This window comes from Homo sapiens, chromosome 9, assembly GCF_000001405.40.
Source record: "Homo sapiens chromosome 9, GRCh38.p14 Primary Assembly".
In the NCBI taxonomy this organism is placed as follows: Eukaryota; Metazoa; Chordata; class Mammalia; order Primates; family Hominidae; genus Homo; species Homo sapiens.
The window spans coordinates 61326264-61341338 of record NC_000009.12 but is presented as its reverse complement, the minus strand read 5'-3'; the positions used below and the strand labels follow the sequence as shown (position 1 = coordinate 61341338).

At 39.9% G+C, this 15075-nt stretch overlaps 1 protein-coding gene across 6 annotated transcripts in view; it reads right to left on the bottom strand.

The window, feature by feature from the left end:
- CNTNAP3C (contactin associated protein family member 3C) overlaps positions 1–10898 on the bottom strand; it is a 131026-nt gene extending 120128 nt beyond the window's left edge. For 5 of the 6 annotated variants that reach the window (XM_011545672.4, XM_017015380.2, XM_011545674.3 and 2 more), the window contains exon 1: positions 10287–10898. In XM_011545672.4, coding sequence (XP_011543974.1) covers positions 10287–10371 — 85 coding nt within the window. In that variant the 5' untranslated portion in view covers positions 10372–10898. The remainder of the gene's footprint in view (positions 1–10286) is intronic. The other variant, XM_047424299.1, reaches the window with a different exon arrangement.
- Positions 10899–15075: the final 4177 nt, after the last annotated feature.

The following is a 15075-nucleotide window of genomic DNA, read 5'->3' as shown; positions in this document are numbered from 1 at the left end:
ATGCAGAAAAGGCCTTTGACAAAATTCAAAGACGCTTCATGCTAAAAACTCTCAACAAATTAGGTATTGATGGCACCTATCTCAAAATAATAAGAGCTATCTATGACAAACCCACAGCCAATATCATACTGAATGGACAAAAACTGGAAGCATTCGCTTTGAAAACTGGCACAAGACAGGATGCCCTCTCTCACCACTCCTATTCAACATAGTGTTGGAAGTTCTGGCCAGGGCAATCAGGCAGGAGAAGGAAATAAAGGGCATTCAATTAGGAAAAGAGGAAGTCAAATTGTCCCTGTTTGCAGATGACATGATTGTATATCTAGAAAACCCCATCGTCTCAGCCCAAAATCTCCTTAACCTGATAAGCAACTTCAGCAAAATCTCAAATTCAAGATTTTGTATCTTGATTTGATACAAAATCAATGTGCAAAAATCACAAGCATTCTTATACACCAATAGCAGACAAACAGAGAGCCAAATCATGAGTGAACTCCCATTCACAATTGCTTCAAAGAGGATAAAATACCTAGGAATCCAACTTACAAGGGATGTGAAGGACCTCTTCAAGGAGAACTACAAACCACTGCTCAAGGAAATAAAAGAGGATACAAACAAACGAAAGAACATTCCATGCTCATGGGTAGGAAGAATCAGTATCATGAAAATGGCCATACTGCCCAAGGTAATTTATAGATTCAATGCCATCCCCATCAAGCTACCAATGACTTTATTCACAGAATTGGAAAAAACTACTTTAAAGTTCATTTGGAACCAAAAAAGAGCCTGCATTGCCAAGTCAATCCTAAGCCAAAAGAACAAACCTGGAGGCATCACACTACCTGACTTCAAACTATACTACAAGGCTACAGTAACCAAAACAGCATGGTACTGGTACCAAAACAGAGATATAGAACAACAGAACAGAACAGAGCCCTCAGAAATAATGCCGCATATCTACAACTATCTGATCTTTGAGAAACCTGACAAAAATAAGCAATGGGGAAAGGATTCCCTATTTAATAAACGGTGCTGGGAAAACTGGCTAGCCATAAGTAGAAAGCTGAAACTGGATCCCTTCCTTACACCTTATACAAAAATTAATTCAAGATGGATTAAAGACTTAAATGTTAGACCTAAAACCATAAAAACCCTAGAAGAAAACCTAGGCAATACCATTCAGGACACAGTCATGGGCAAGGACTTCATGTCTAAAACACCAAAAGCAATGGCAACTAAAGCCAAAATTGACAAATGGGATCTAATTAAACTAAAGAGCTTCTACAGAGCAAAAGAAACTACAATCAGAGTGAACAGGCAACCTACAGAATGGGAGGAAATTTTTGCAACCTACTCATCTGACAAAGGGCTAATATCCAGAATCTACAATGAACTCAAACAAATTTACAAGAAAAAAACCAACAATCCCATCAAAAAGTGGGCAAAGGATATGAACAGACACTTCTCAAAAGAAGACATCCATGCAGCCAAAAAACACATGAAAAAATGCTCATCACCACTGGCAATCAAATGCAAATCAAAAACCACAATGAGATACCATCTCACACCAGTTAGAATGACAATCATTAAAAAGTCAGGAAACAACAGGTGCTGGAGAGGATGTGGAGAAATAGGAACACTTTTACACTGTTGGTGGGACTGTAAACTAGTACAACCATTGTGGAAGTCGGTGTGGCAATTCCTCAGGGATCTAGAACTAGAAATACCATTTGACCCAGCCATCCCATTACTGGGTATATACCCAAAGGATTATAAATCATGCTGCTATAAAGACACATGCACACGTATGTTTATTGCGGCACTATTCACAATAGCAAGACTTGGAACCAACCCAAATGTCAATCAATGATAGACTGGATTAAGAAAATGTGGCACATATACACCATGGAATACTATGCAGCCATAAAAAATGATGAGTTCATGTCCTTTGTAGGGACATGGATGAAGCTGGAAACCATCATTCTCAGCAAACTATCGCAAGGACAAAAAACCAAACACCACATGTTCTCACTCATAGGTGGGAACTGAACAATGAGAACACATGGACACAGGAAGGGGAACATTACACAACGGGGACTGTCGTGGGGTGGGGGTACGGGGGAGGGATAGCATTAGGAGATATACCTAATGCTAAATGACTAGTTAATGGGTGCAGCACACCAACATGGCACATGTATACATATGTAACAAACCTGCACATTGTGCACATGTACCCTATAACTTAAAGTATAATAATAATAAAATAATAAAAAATTAAAAAGTTCAGTGTTCGAGTTCTCTGTCTCTTGGCCTCTGTGATGCCTGCAGAAACCCAGTCGCAACCCATTCATTCATATTCCTCTCCTTAGAGCCAGGAGTTAGCGCCCCAAGGGCAGTGCTGAATCCCTGGACAGGACTCGGGATAAATGCATTCCCCCTGCTGTCTCTCAGAGGCACAGCTGTGAAACACATTCTCCCGGCTTCCTGAGAGCTTCCCAGGGAGTTCATGCCCCAGTTGCTCACAGAAGTGACCAGCTCAATGACACCCCCTTTTGGTGGATTTTTCTTCTCTATTCCATTCTTCCCTCTTTTATGAGCTCACTTTCTAAAAGAGGCTACCTGCACAAACGCCCATCACAGGCTCAGCTGTCTAAGAAAACTCTGGCTGGGAGAGTGGACTTTCCAGAATGGAATGTGGGCAGTATTCTAAAATACTAAATAAAATGCAACAGGAAAATCAAAGGGATGAACGTCACATGGCATAAAGAAGGAGGTAGAGGACATCTGCCTAGCCTTCCAAGAACAAAACAAATTGACAATCAACCCTGGCCACCCAGGAGATGAGCTTTGTCACAGCAATTCTTCCTCATATCCCAGAAAAGAGAAGAAGAAATGAGGACAGTAGAATCAACTGTGACATCCAAAAAAGGCTGCCCAATCTCTTCTCTAGAATGTGTCAACTGTGATTTATGAAATAACATATGCTATTTTTATATTGCAATGTTTGCTTATCTATAGGTAAGAGCTCACCATTTCTTATATCATGTTATAATTATATTCATGAAGAAGATGACCATTGCACAGACAAGTACACTGTGAAGAACCGTGAGGAGAGATTTTACCCTACTTGCAAGCTAACAAATGAGTCTGCCAGTTTGTTTCATCGTTGCGGCAGAAGACTCCTGGGTCAAAGCAAAGGACTGTATTACTTACAGCATAGCAAACAATATGAGCATCAGCATATTTGCATCAATTTCCTTGCCTCCAAGTCCTCTGGGGGAATATGGATGGGCACAGATGGATGTGTGCACACGCAGTGGGTTACATGACAAGTGAGGAGCCCTGAGCTTAGGGAATTCAAAGTTTTCTACGGGCAGCAGGCATTGCTTACCCTTTGGCAACACTGCTGAAATAAATCTCTTATAGTTCAAGATGTATTGATAAGCATGTTAAGCTTATTTTTATACATGAAGAACAACAAATTGTTATTTTCTATGGTTATTCACAGTATCTCAAAATCTATGTGATATTTTACTAGCTTAGTTTTATTATAATTTTAAAAGACCATTTGGGTTCCTTTGTTAGTGGACAAGAATAAAAAGAGATAAATTAGTTACTTTCTTAAAGCTAAGCAACATCATTTTCTATTGAGGAACCCAAAACTTTCCTAACTTTTACAAATGTTTGTAAATTGTAGGTTCTGTGACAGCCAGTGCTATAAAATTTCATAAGCTTATAAGAGCTTTCTTAACACAGCTGTGGACTTTTCTCCTGGTGTTGTACAGCAGTTCAAATTAGCTCAAGAATCATAAACCCTATATTTGAACAGCTATATAATATTATATATTTATTTTCCCATTTGATGTTGCATTACTTTTTCTACCAATCTTCTTACAATAAATTCATAAATATCTTAATTATAGCAAATGTGAAGTTCTTAAAGATGAGAATCATCAAACATATTTCTATTACAGAGATATATTCTTCAAAAAGTCATCTAAAATAGAAACCCAACTGGGAGACACCTTAAAAGGTTATCTGCCACAACAGAAGCTTTGCTTAAAATACTGTTCTCTTTGTATTTGTGTTAATAATTGATTTGTCTTTGAAATTAAATTAGGAATCTACTATATCTAGTGGTCTTGAAATCAAAGCCCCCTCCCCATTCCTTATCTTCACTGCTGTGTTCAAAAAGACTAGACTCCAGGGACGTGTCCAAAGCTGGGTTAAATATAGGATGCCTGAGAGACACCCTTCTTTCATAGTTCGAGGGTAAGCATGTAGCTGTATGTGTGTGGAGGGGCGGGTGGAGGAGGTTAGCTGTATCAGGGTAGGCATAATACTATATTTTAAATCCCTCCTTCTGTTATAAATGTAAGCTGAAAATAGTCTCTGCTCCCAGCGGCAGCAATCGTAAACTCGCTTAGTTCTGCCTGTAATTTAATTTAATTTAACATGTGACATTGAGACAATGTTTCTTTTAATTCACATATAACTTCTTCCTCACCCACATTCCAGCCAAATAAACACATACTTATAGAAAAATGTGACTGTTTTCCTGGGCATCCCAACAATTCAACTGTCCCTAAAACACCAGGTTCAATTTAAACTCTATTAGCTTGTCTGAGGGCTAAGATATCTAAAAATCCAAGACAAATTATCATTTGCGTATATGGAGGCAGCTCTGATTGAACAGATATCTAAAACGGTTAGGTAATATTTTAGATCAAATCACTCCATCAAGTCAAAGACTAATTCAACTGTTTGTTCAGTTTCCAAAGGAATCCTTCCATTTTGGTCTAGTGTTCCATAAACATTGACTTTACATGAAAAGGACAGTGAAGAGATCTCTTGAACCGGCCAGAAAGTTGAAGCTCAAGGTTGTAGAAGATTTGAGCTACCAAGTCCAAGCCTTCTAAAAGATTCCCAATATGTATATATATCATTTTCCTAACTCTACATTTGCCTGAGAAACAATGACATTCAATAAACTTTTTTCCATGGGATTTAGTTACAAAATAAGTCAAGGAACTACAAGTTATATATTTCCTGGAAAAATATACTATTATATATATATATTATATATTCAAAACTCCGTAAAGCATATAAAGTATAAGCATATACTGAGTTATAAGGCATAACTCAACATGTTATTTTAACCTAAAATTTTCTTAGGGCCTCAATTGCAAATGCTTTAATTGCCAATGGTTCATAAACACATCTGTGAATTAGAAGCAAGTAATATCCTCTGTTTTTATACTCTCAAAAAATGTGATTATACTTAATCAAAAGTAATTCAAACCACAGCCCAGGCAATACATACTAGACCATGTCTTCTTGGTAATTTAATTCTTAGCAATAATTTTAATTGCTGCCTTATTAAGTAGGTATGCTACTTAAATTACAATCCTGTAGTTATAAGGTTAAAACTATTTTAAAATCTCAAATGTTTTTAGATTTCAATCACTCTTCGTATTATTACAACAAAAATGTTCATTAACTGGAACACATGCAGTATCATTTTTTAGCCCCCACTTTATGATATTTTTTAATTTTTATTACCAGAGTAGTCATTTCATTATAAAATTTTAACCAAGCTAAGCATATACTCCATTTTTTAGAAAACTAGATTTACTGTAGTCCTGTTAAGGCTATCATAGTAAGCAATGAATTTCACACTTGTCTTTTATACAGTACAACACATCAAGCAGATATATGAAATCCTTGACAAAAGACATTTAAAACAAACAATTCCATGCTTTATATGTCAAGTGAAAAGGAATATTTTTTCTACAGTGACAGAGCAGACTTGACATGTGCACAATCATGTACAACCAAGCGTTTGCAAATGCTCTTACAACGTGGAGCAACCGGGCCTAGGGACAAGCAACCTTTCAGCTAAGAGTCTCGTCAAAGGTGCGGAAGCCCATTACAGAAGACCAGATAACAGTCAGTCTGACGGGTTCATTCAGATATTCAAGCTTTAAAAAGTACTTTGAAGACTGATACAGATGTCCTAGGCAATAAACTTCCCGAAAAGAATGGGGAACAATCCCAGTGCCAATCACATCTTTGTCATTCAGAAATCCAGGCTAATTTGATTTAGAGACATACATAAATGAACTGTTATTTCTCATAACTGTTTTTTTTCAGCCTCTTTATTTTTAATCTACATCTCTTAGGTAAAATGCATCAATTTAACTACATTTACTTATTCTGAGTTTTTCTATTGGTCCATGTTTCCTTTAAACACAATTTTGAATGGTTTTTTAAAGTAACCATTTGATTTTGAAACCAATTTACAGAAAACATGGAAGAACTACGCTAATATGCTGTATCACCCCTGAATACTTCAATGTACATTTCCTACAACAAAGATGTTCTCCTATATAACCATAATATGATCATCCCAGTCATCATGGATAAAGTTCCAATATTTAATCCCCAATCTTGTTCAAGTTGCACCAATTCCCAATCATGTCCTTTATAACATAAGCATTTAATGCAGAGTAGTATTTAGTTGCCTTGTTTTCTTAGCCTCCGTCAATCTGGAATGCCTCCTTCCTCACTCCACTCAACCTCTGACAACTTGCTATAGGTCACCACCAGTGCTGTCTCCTGTCTCTCCAGGTCCCCACCCTTGCTACACTGTGGATGCTTTCCTTACCCTGCTGGTTTCTGAATGCTCTGCCACGGTCCTGGGCCTCCCCACTTACCCAGCATGGATGCCTAAGCTGAACTGAATGACCTTGGACTGAATTGTTCAAAAAGAGAAGGGGAGAGGAAGAGGAAGAAGAACGCCAAGTAATTTGATTTTTCTTTTTTCATGATCAAACCAATGTCTTGGAATTGATTATCACTTCCATGGGCTACTTATGCTCCGTACTGTTTGTATAGAGTTTGGTGAAAATGAATAAAGGCAACTGAACTACATTTTTTGGTTTTTTTTTTGAGACAGAGTCTCACTCTGTCACCCAGGCTGGAGTGCAGTGGCACGATCTCAGCTCACTGCCTCCTCACAGGCACCTGCCACCATGCCCTGAAATTTTTTCATATTTTTAGTAGAGACGGGGTTTCACCGTGTTGTCCAGCCTGGTTTCGAACTCCCGACCTCAACTGATCCACCCACCTCAGCCTCCCAAAGTGCTGGGATTACAGGTGTGAGCCACCGCGCCTGGCCTGAACTCCATTTTTTATAGAGTACCATTTGACACTAAAATTAAGAGTCTGTTACTCATCTGCAGAATCTCTCTTTAAATGGTATTACTAAAAGGTCCAAAATGAAACATCTGTAAAAATAATTATTCCTACACTCTGTGAGATCTCTTTCCTGACACATTTCACATCTAAGTGAGTTCCCTAACTAACCCACACACACTCTATAGTAGGCTTACCCTTCTTTCCCCAGGCTGGCTGGCGAACTTGCAAAACATAACCATTTAGGGGAAAAAATTGAGGCAATTAAAATTAAAAGTGTTTTAGGCTAAGTAATGAATAAATTAACCCACTGAAAAGTTACATCAAAGGCTATTACTCAGCATTTTACCAGTTACAGGAATTTCTGCAAAATCTGCCCAGCCATTTGTTTGTGTATCCCTGGGATCAGTGCCCAGCGTTCAATCTTTCTCTTGATGCTTCCTGCTGTTTTCAGGGACTCAATGAGAGCAGTAAGTGACCTTTCACTCACTGCAAGTCTATGGGCACTGAAGTTAGGAAAATATTTCCCTTCATGCAGAATCTTCCTAACAAAGCTTTCCCATGTATTTGTCGGGTCAAATAACATTCAGATAAACTGCACATAATCCCCAAAATGCCAAATGTTTAGAGAGCTTTTTTTTTTTGAGACAGAGTTTTGTGTTTTCCTCTTGTTGCCCAGGCTGGAGTGCTATGGTGGGATCTCGGCTCACTGCAACCTCCATCTCCCAGGTTCAAGCGATTCTCCTGCCTCAGCCTCCCGAGAAGCTGGGATTACAGATGCCTGCCACCACGCCCGGCTAATTTTTGTATTTTTAGTAGAGACAGGGTTTCACCATGGTGGCCAAGCTGGTCTCGAACTCCTGACCTCAGGTGATCCACCCACCTCGGCCTCCCAAAGTGCTGGGATTACAGACGCGAGCCACTGTGCCCGGCCTATAGAGCTCTTCCCATGAAGAGCCATTTCATGCCATCATCAACAGGCTGCCTTCGTGGGTGGCCAATGTGCTTCTGGAAAACCAGCTGTGAATAACGTGAGCAACTCATGGTGTCTTCATGAGAAGGAAACTTTTAGATGTCCTTATTGACTTTCTTCTTGGTATTGAAGGTGGTATAATTATTACAGTTACATAGTTTTATCTGGAAGAATTACTTGATCTAAAAGGTAATTTAAAATTAGTAAAATTTATTAGATATGAGGATACTAAGTTTCATCAACGAAAGAAGACTGAAAACACCCACAGTAGTAGTATTGAAATTTTACGTGTCACTCAGCAACTCGCGAGAGTCCCGTCTGGTGCTGAGTCCATTTGGAATATCTGTCCCTGCCCTCCCCTCCTCCAAAAAGAATGTTCACTATAAACGAGAAGAGCTTAATTTCTATGGGCTTTGTAATCCTTCCACTGGATTCCAAGCAAAATAACTACCAATACAACTAATCCTGAGAATAAAAAGTAATCACAACTATGCAACAAAAACAGGAAAGGTGGTGGCAGGGTCTCACTCAGATTTCATTGCTTTGCTTTTCTCCAGGAAGGTCTTTTTGAAGCCCTGTTTATTCAATAGTAAGAGTGACCTCTAGTGACTTTTTTTGTTGTTGTATTTTGCCAGTTGATTGGTCAATTACTCTAGCATGCCTTTCTATAAGTAACTCATTTATATGTTTATTTAAGCCAAACGGCAATTTCCATTACAAGACCCAAGGATTTTGATTTAAGTAACAACGTTTTATTCACAAAGCCTTCTCACAAAAGCAGATTAAAGTTGAATCTGAAACACGGTACAGCATCTGACCAAAGGAATCCGGAGCTTGTTTTTTGGAAGGGCACACCAAGTGTAGGATTAACTGAGGCGCAACTGAATCATGATGCACAGTGAGTTCATGAACCCATGTGCGTGCCCTGTGTGTGAAGAACCAACCCACCCTTGAGCCCGCGGGCAGAACAGCACTGAGCTACGGCAAACTTTTCATGACAGCTTAGGAGAACTGCTGAAAGCTACCCTTGGTTATCCTGCAATAATCTAAATTTCCAAACATGGCCACTGGCGTTTATTGGAACTTATTTCGAAAGAGATTTTGGTAGGAGAGGGCTGAGGCTGACAGCGGGGAGATGCCACTGAAAGAAAAATAAAAGTGATTTGAGAAGGAAGAGGAAGACATTTTAAAAATTCTAATCTCATGGTTTGATTAATCAAGAAAGAAAGACAACTCTCTGATAGAGATTTACTCCAAGCCAAAAAAAAATGTGCAATGTTGTGCAAACATTTTTATGTGTGATAAAATATGGGTACATTATGTTTTGCTCATCTGTCTGGAATATCATCATTACATTAGAATCATAGCCCATTCTAGAAATAAAGGCTTCCTAGGTGTTTACCAAATTAAGGAAAATAAAAAACAGGGAACCTGATGGCAAATTAAATAATGTAAAATATTAGCATCCAGAGAGGAATCATTTTCAAGATCACCTAAATGACTGGCTGAGTTTTGTCTTTAAGCAAGAACTTTCTACTATGAGAAACGAAGCCCCTGACAGGGGTGTTCAAGTGTTATTCCCTTAGTAGTTAGGACAGGTTATTAATTTAGTTTCACCTACAGGCGCTCTGTCCCTATACTGCATGGAAGTTAATTAGCATTTTAACTCTGAAGCTGCCAAGGTCGGCAAAACTGTAAGCTGCTAACATCTAAGTTGATGCAGTATGATGTAATGTCTGCCAGTTTTTTCCCTGTTAGACTTAATTCCTACAAAATATTACAATCCTAAAAAGGAATAAATGACAGCATTTGCAGGCTAATCTCTTATTAAGATGCTTTTCAGGTTTTACAGAAACGTCCACTTTCTCAATGAATATTCAAGTACATCGATTAAAAAGTCAAAACATGCATGGTATATCTTAGACTCCCCCACAAGAGGAAAGTCTATTGTAAACAAAATCGTCTTTTTCGGGTTGCAATTCCAAATTTTTTTTAAGGTTCTTCATGTTCAGGAGCATGTTCTGCAATTCCACTTCCAAATATTACCGATAATAAAAAAAAAAACAAAGTTTTCCAGACAGCCTAGCGCAAGTTTTAAACCATTTGCTGTACTTACGTGGATTTCCTGCTCCCACGGGGCTCCAAGTCTGAGTGGGGAGAAGCAGCAGCACCTTGAGGACGGCCCAGGCCACTGAAGCCATGCTCACTTCAGCCAGGCGCCCTGAGACCCGGGCACGGCGACGGCCGCTCTGCGTCGCTCCTGCTCTCACTCCCGTCCCCTGCGCGGCTCTGACGCTGCTCTGTCTCCCGTGTCCAGTCTCTAGCTCTCTTCCTCACGCACTAGCAGCCTCCCTCGGCGCTGCAGACCCTCCCGCCAAGCCGCGCCCGGCCCCAGCTGCGTCTCCGAGGTCGGCCCCGCGGACTCGCGCCGCAGCTTTCTGGAGCGCTCGGGGCCGCGCGGCGCCACCCCAGGCACGGAGGCGGCAGGTTCAGGCGCGTCCCGGACACTAGGCGCGGGAGGCGGCCGGCAGCAACGCGAGTCAAGAAGCGAGCGGGAGGGACGCCCCAGCTCCGCCTGGCGCTCTCCTCCCGTTATACCTGCAGCTTCCTCCGTCCCTCTCTCCCACCGGGGCGGGGCGGCCGCGGTGCACGGACTCGCGCCAAAGACCGCGCCGTCAGCCTCCGCCTGCAGGTGGAGAACGCCAGGCTTTATCACTGCGCTGTTCACCCAACGCAGGGGCTGCACCCAGGAAAATGCTGTCCTGTTTGAGTTCAAATAGGGAAGATGGGGCAGAAATAACTCTGCGGCGTGTACTCGGGCAGACGCGCGCACACTTTGATTTTGCTAGGAATTCTGACTTGTAGAGAACCAAGCTGGGAAACCGGGCCAGGAGCAGGGAGAGGCCGGTGAGCCTGGGTTGTGCGAGTGCAAGCCTTTATTTAAAGTTTTAATATTTTGTCTATCATGGGTTTTTTTTTTCTTTGCGATTACATTCAATTTTAAAACTATTTCATTCATTCAGGATTAGCGTTACTTAACAGTTGCTCCTGAGACTAGTGCGTTAGTCCCTTCACCCTAGTCCTGGCCTTGGTGGAAGTCTAAAATTTACGTTTTATTCCAGCTTTCTGTCCAAAAGAGCAACCCCTGCAAGTGTAGGATGAGGAGCTCAGTCCAGCAGCAGCTAACACTGCACTCCTTGCGTGCCTACTGTGTGCTAGAGGGAGGGGCGGAGGCAGGGGGCGGGGGGGGTCTTTCTCTTTTTCTCTTCCTCTGCTTCTCAAATTCACAGTAGGGGCAAAGATTGACAAACTCACTCACATTACCACCACCGCGAGTTTCCAAAAAAGAAAAAAGAAAGAAAGATACTTTTTTAGATGGTATCTCTAAGAAATAGTGTATTAATCTTCCCTTTGGAAAGACAACTTTGAAAGGCTTTTTCATTAAAATGAATTCAAATGTAATAGATGTAAAATGTAAAATGAATTCAAATGTAATAGATGAAGAATCTTACAAAGTCATTCTTGAATTATTAATTGGGTTCACTTAAACTACTTTTGCACAAGAACTCTGTAAATAGCACGTCTTTTATTACAGAAAAAATTATAAATCTAAAGTTTTGATTGACAGATCAGTTGCCTTCAGTGAGACAGAAAGAGAGAAAATGGAAATCATTTTCTAAATTGGACCTAGAGTAAAACAACAAATGTCAATCTATTATTATACCAATTTGTCAGGCATCAGATGGAGTCTTTAAAAATGTGAACTTGGCCGGGTGCAGTGGCTCATGCCTGTAATCTCAGCACTTTGGGAGGCGGAGGAGGCCAAGAGGTCAGGAGATGGAGCCCATCCTGGCCAACACGGTGAAACCCTGTCTCTATTAAAATACAAAAAATTAACCGGGCGTGGTGGTGCCTGCCTGTAGTCCCAGCTACTCGGGAGGCTGAGGCAGGAGAATTGCTTGAACCCGGGAGGCAGAGGTTGCAGCAAGCCAACATTGCACCCTGCACTCCAGCTTGGCGACAGAGCCAGACTCCGTCTCAAGACAAAAAAAAAAAAAAGTGAACTTGGGTGTTCAAAGTGTTAGGCTTAATGGAGAAAGGCCAAGAAACTTCTACGGTGGTAGACATTTGCAATTAAAACAAAATGGCTTCATTAAACTGTAAAATCACTAGCGTAGTGAGGGTGCATGCATTTTTTACAACATTGGAGGAATATATTTATGAATATTATTCCCAATACATAAAATATACATTTTACACACTTATAGGTACACTCAAAATTTGTTCCAAATTGTTCATGTCTAGTAAATGTATATACACTATTTTATATGGTTAAGCCAATAAGCATCAGCATTTTCTTCTAAGACAGGAGGCTTGTAATTGTTTTGATTCCCCTGCTTTTGACTTAAAACTTATTTAGGTTTATTCTACTTAAGTTGTTTGGTTAGGGGACTTGAAGTCCTTAAACATAAATGTGTGTCTTGAAATGCATTTTATGTGGCTATACTTGCTGCTATATGGTTATTATTTAAATCAGCATAGACACTTGCTGTGGTGATAATGCTGGCAATGAACTTTGCAGACTAAGAGTAGTGAGGCTCTAAAAATTACTTTGCCTAGTAGAGAAGCATCCGTCACAATCATCACACACTACACACTTACTGAACAAATGAAGACATGAATTCGAGATGGCCGATGTAACTAGAACACTGGATGTCCCAGAAAAAATATCGAATATCACAAATATAAATGTTTTATGTGTTGCTGCTTTATTTCCTTTCTTCCCTACTTTCCATGATAATGCAATTTAAACTTTGAAACTTCTTACCTTCTATTTAACCTTAACATGGATAATAAATACAATTATATTTTTTATTTCAATCTGGATAATGGTTGTATGATTCAACCAGAATAAGAAAGGAATAAGATCTACTTTGCAATAGCACATATTTAGGAAGTGAGTATATTTATATTGGAACAAATGATGATACTGAGGTGTGTTTGATGACTAGCTTCTGGATTATAAGAATGTAAATGTTTGTTAAGACAGACTCTTTTGAAATTTGTTCTTGAATATTTTGAATTACAAAAGGAACATTTTTAAAAGAATTGTATAAAGAAAATGTTAATAATTGCCACTACCATCACCCCAACCCCACTGAGGTAACCAATGATACAAAACAGGCTGACAGGCTGGTATGTATCCTTATGTATCCTTGTTTTGGCTCTTCTTCTTCTTTTTTTTTTTGAGACAGAGTCTCGCTCTGTCGCCTAGACTGGAGTGCAGTAGTGGTGTGATCTTCGCTCACTGCAACCTCTGCCTCCCAGGTTCAAGCAATTCTTGTGCCTCAGCCTCCTGAGAAGCTGGGAGAACAAGTGAGTGCCACCACACCCGGCTAAGTTTTTGTATTTTTGGTAGGGACAAGGTTTTTCCATGTTGCCCAGGCTGGTCTCGAACTTCCTGAGCTCAAGTGATCCACCCGCCTTGGCCTCCCAAAGTCTTGAGATTACAGGCGTGAGCCATCACACCCGGCCTTGGCTCTTATATATAAACACATACAACCTGTACATAGAGTTGTGCTTATTTTGTTTCAATAAGGTTTTACCTTGTACTTTATACTCTCATCCTGCAATTTTATCGTCTCTCTTTGTAGTATACCGTGTGCATTGCAGTCTAAGCTAGAACTTAGTTTTCAGTTCTAGAAAATAGAGTGAGAATACAAAAATATAACATTTGCCTGCCAATCTAATAGCATTTTAATTCCTAAATAGATCTACTTTCACAAATATGCTACTTCTCAAAGAATTATTTTTCTTATGATATTTTTCTAAGCAATGCAATGTGATATTAGTCAGATTTTTAAAATGCACTACTGCATTAGTCAAGGCCCAGAAAGAAAGCATGATTTGCTCAGATAGTTTAAAGGGACAGGCTGAAAAGAAAAGTGAAGGGACCCACCAGGTGACATTGTGGCAACCAAAGACAAGCACTAGCAGAAAGCCTTTACTACCTACAGCAGAGGCGCAGAGGGAGGAACGGTTGCTGCCAGATCCCCAGAAGGCAGCAGCCGGGGAACACAAAGGTCTGGCAGGAGCCACAGTCATAGAAGTAAAAGAATTTTCTTGTCAGAACCTGGAAACAGGAGTGAGTAGGGAAGAAACTTTTTGAGCTCTGACTTCTGAAACCTTACTGTTTCTGTGGGTGTCTCTCATTAGCCAAAACCAACTGGAAGTCAGCTGGGAGGGGAGCAAGGTGACACTCGAGCAGGAAGGGTGACACTCGGGCAGGAAGGGTGACACTGGGGCTGGAAGAGTAGAGGGTGGTTCTGAGGACCTCCACAAAGAATGGCCAGCACATCCTAGAACACTGACACTTACCAAATTTTTAAAAAAAGTTTATTTTTGTTTTGTGCATTCATGTTCTTTTATGAATGATTTATCAAGTAATGGCTTGGAATAGAAATCTAAAGCTTTTATTTTTTAAATTGTGAACCGAAGTAATCGTACTTGCTAGAAATTAAACCAGAGCTTTGAGGTCAAATAGTTTACTCTTTCTTCTGTTTATATTAACAGGGAAGATTAATTGTGCCGAATATCGTAGTTTTGAATGGAGCTTTTTATTAACTTCAACATCAGGAAATCACCAGAGTCCACCTACCTTTCCTTATTTTTCACAGAAATAGAAAGATTGATGTTCTCATAGAGCAAAAAAGATGAGGTCTCACTTCTTGTGGCCTTCTGACATCCATCAATATTTTAGGAAAACAATTCTCACATTTCAGGGCCAATTGGGAATTAAGTTGAGCTCAAATACAAAGGGAAATATTTTTTATTAAAACTTTTTTTGTGCGAAATGAATTATAAATTTTATAAATTTTTTTGTGAAATGAATCAGCTAGCCTAAA